Source organism: Homo sapiens, chromosome 15 (genome assembly GCF_000001405.40).
Source record: "Homo sapiens chromosome 15, GRCh38.p14 Primary Assembly".
Taxonomy (NCBI): Eukaryota; Metazoa; Chordata; class Mammalia; order Primates; family Hominidae; genus Homo; species Homo sapiens.
The window spans coordinates 59918706-59921898 of record NC_000015.10 but is presented as its reverse complement, the minus strand read 5'-3'; the positions used below and the strand labels follow the sequence as shown (position 1 = coordinate 59921898).

The following is a 3193-nucleotide window of genomic DNA, read 5'->3' as shown; positions in this document are numbered from 1 at the left end:
CTAGCAAAAAGAGCATCTCTTCCCCCAATAATTCTAGAAATGGTGCCAATCTCATTCATAAACCCTGAGTTGTGCTCAATCTTTAAGCAATGGCTGTGGGCAGGGGGAAGGAATTCTTTCACTGGTAAGGCCTAGATCACATGCTCACTTCTGGAAGGAGGAAAGGTCGGTCGTATCTAATCCAGGTGGACTGAAAACAGAAGTGGATCTCCAAAAGAATAATGTTACAAAATGGGGGTATTGGCGGTAGTGAAGGAATTCCAGACAGGCAAAAAACCCAGGAGCACTCATATCACTTCTCCATCATTCCTCTTCCTAGGGCAGAGGTTTTTAAACTTTGGTATACATAGGAATCCCCTACAAAATTTATGGAAAATACCAATTTCAGTGCCTTACCCTACTTCTAAGATTCTGATTCCATATTCTGAGATATTGCCTGGAAATCAGTCCTTTCTGCAAGCACCAGATACAGGTGGTCCAAGTATCATATTTTCAGGAATAAGGGCAATAAGAAAAACACATTTCTAGCCATTCTCAATCTTTGCTGCATGTCAAAATAAACATTTTTTTTTTTCTTGAGACGGCTCACTGTCGCCCAGGCTGGAGTGCAGTGGCATGATCTCTGCTCACTGCAGGCTTCGCCCCCTGGGTTCACGCCATTCTCCTGCCTCAGCCTCCCAAGTAGCTGGGACTACAGGCGCCCGCCACCTCGCCCAGCTAATTTTTTGTATTTTTAGTAGAGACGGGGTTTCACCCTGTTAGCCAGGATGGTCTCAATCTCCTGACCTCGTGATCCGCCTGCCTCGGCCTCCCAAAGTGCTGGGATTACAGGCGTGAGCCACCGCGCCTGGCGAATAAACATTTTTTTTTTTTTTCCAAATCAGATGCCTGAGCACTACCTGGCAATCTTTCAAAGCAACATTTGCAAGGGTAAGGCTGGCAAAGTAGATGTGGATCCACAGGTATTTCTAACGGGCCCTAAAGCAGCGATTCTTGACATTTACTATGTATATGAATGAGCTGGGATCTTCTTAAAATGTAGATTCCGATTCAGCAGTTTTATGGTAAGGCCTGAGATTCTGCATTTCTAGCAAGCTCTGAGGCAATACCACTGGTGCTAGTGCATGGACCATGCTTTGAGCAGCAAGATACTACAGGCTGAGGGCCACCCTGTGTATTCGATTTGCACATTTCAAGGTGTGTCTGAACGGGCCAACCAGCCTGCCAGGGTGCATAAAAAGACCTGTTTCTAATAGGATTTATTCATAGTGATATTTCTCACTTTCTTCCAAGATGTGTAGAGCTTATTTTACTTTATTTTATTTTTATTTTTCCTAGAAACAGGGTTTTTCCATGTTGGCCAGGCTGGTCTCCAACTCATGACCTCAAGTGATCCGCCTGCCTCGGCCTCTCAAAATGCTGGGATTACTGGCATGAGCCACTGCACCCAGCCTAGAGCTCATTTTAAAGTAGTTCAAAGTGAACACAGTCCAGCCTCTAAAAGCTGGAGTACGCATGTGTACATTTTTTATTTAACTAACACTTTGGTGCTCCAGGTCTCACCTAGACTCTGGAAAGACAAAGAAAAGTGAGACAGGATCTCTTATGGAGCTCACAGTGGGGGTGAACCATCATCCTGGTTCGCTCAGAACTGCAAGTGTGACTTTAGCAGTCACACTTTATCAGGGAAGAAAGACATGTAGGCCAATTAACTATATACAATTAGTGAGGGCAGAGGAGGAGTGATATGGCTTGGATATTTGTCCCCTCCAAATCTCATGTTGAAATGTAATCCCCAGTGTTGGAGGTGGGGCTTAGTGGGAAGTGTTTGGGTCATGGGGAGGCAGCCCCCCACAAATGTCTTTGTGCTGTCCTCGAGATAATGAGTGATCTGTCATGAGATCTGGCTGTTTAAAAGTGTGTGACACCTCCTCCTTCTCTCTCTCTCTCTTCTTTCTCTCTCTTTCTACACCTCAGGTGATTCACCCACCTCAGCCTCCCAGAGTGCTGGGATTATAGGCATGAGCCACTGTGCCCAGCCCTGACTTACATTTTTAAAACTCCACTCTGGCTGCTGTGTTGAGAAGCAACTGTGTGGTAGGGGAAGGGCATGAGGAGGAAGACTGGTTATGAGGCTGTTACAAGAGAGGATGGGAGCTCAGACAAGGCTGGATGCAGGGGAGTGGGTTTCTCTCTGTGGGTTTCCCCAGTCCCTGGAGAGTCGAGGCCCTTTCAACCTCTGGAGAACTGACTTTTCCAACTACTTGGGTGATCTGGGCAGATTTATCACCCTCCCAAGGCTTCATTTTCATCATCTGTAAAATGCAGACAGTCATATCTGCCTTTTCTGACTCATGAGGTTCTTGTGAGAATTGAATGAGATCACCGCTGTGGAAAGCATAGAGCAAAGCAGGAAAGAAAACAGGTATGAGTCAAAAGCCACCAGCGAGACCTCTAATCTGGCAATACCAAAAGAGAAATGCTGCTGTCTCGTCATTGGCTCAGACCATTCATGAAAGGGTGCTGCCGAATTTAAAGGTTAAACCCTAAATCATAGATTGAGAGGAGACATTGATGATTATTTGGTCAAGATCCACATCTCTCAGATAAAAGGAAACTGAGATGCAGAAATGAAGGTTGCTTTCCCGAGACAATGCAGTGAGAGGTGGAGCCACGCTAGAGTCTCAGTTCCTGGTCTTCCTCTGCCATGCGGCCCATCTCAAAGTCCTGTCAAATGTCTCAGTCTCAAAAACTAACCAAAGCACAATTAAGATAAAAGGAAAAAGAAAGCTGGGTGCTGTGGCTCACGCCTGTAATCCCAACACTTTGGGAGGCTGAGGCGGGAGGATCGCTTGAGCCCAGGATTTCAAAACCAGTCTGGGTAATGTAGTAAGACCCCATTTCTACTTTAAAAAAATTAAAATAAATACATAAATTACAAAAAAAGAAGGAAAAGGAAAAGAAGGCGCTCAGTTATGAGGTGTACAACAGCTTTGTAGCTTGCAGGTGCATAATAGAATTTGATCTTCCCAATGACTCCTGGAGTTTTCAAATACTCCCATTTTACAAATAAGGAAACAGAGATTTGGGAAGATCAGCCAAATGATCCCACATTACACAGCCAGCAAGTGGCTAGGAAAAGATTCCAGCTCATATCTCTGGCTTTCCCCTGCATTTAATGAAAACCTTTGGA

At 45.1% G+C, this 3193-nt stretch overlaps 2 annotated features.

Annotated features, from left to right (window-relative positions):
* Positions 2054 to 2163: an enhancer, noted in NCBI's record as "active region_9501". NCBI's record gives its function as "activates an Ori minimal core promoter by ATAC-STARR-seq in GM12878 lymphoblastoid cells {active_cell/tissue: GM12878}" and the evidence as "EXISTENCE:reporter gene assay evidence [ECO:0000049][PMID:35858748]".
* Positions 2224 to 2273: an enhancer, noted in NCBI's record as "active region_9500". NCBI's record gives its function as "activates an Ori minimal core promoter by ATAC-STARR-seq in GM12878 lymphoblastoid cells {active_cell/tissue: GM12878}" and the evidence as "EXISTENCE:reporter gene assay evidence [ECO:0000049][PMID:35858748]".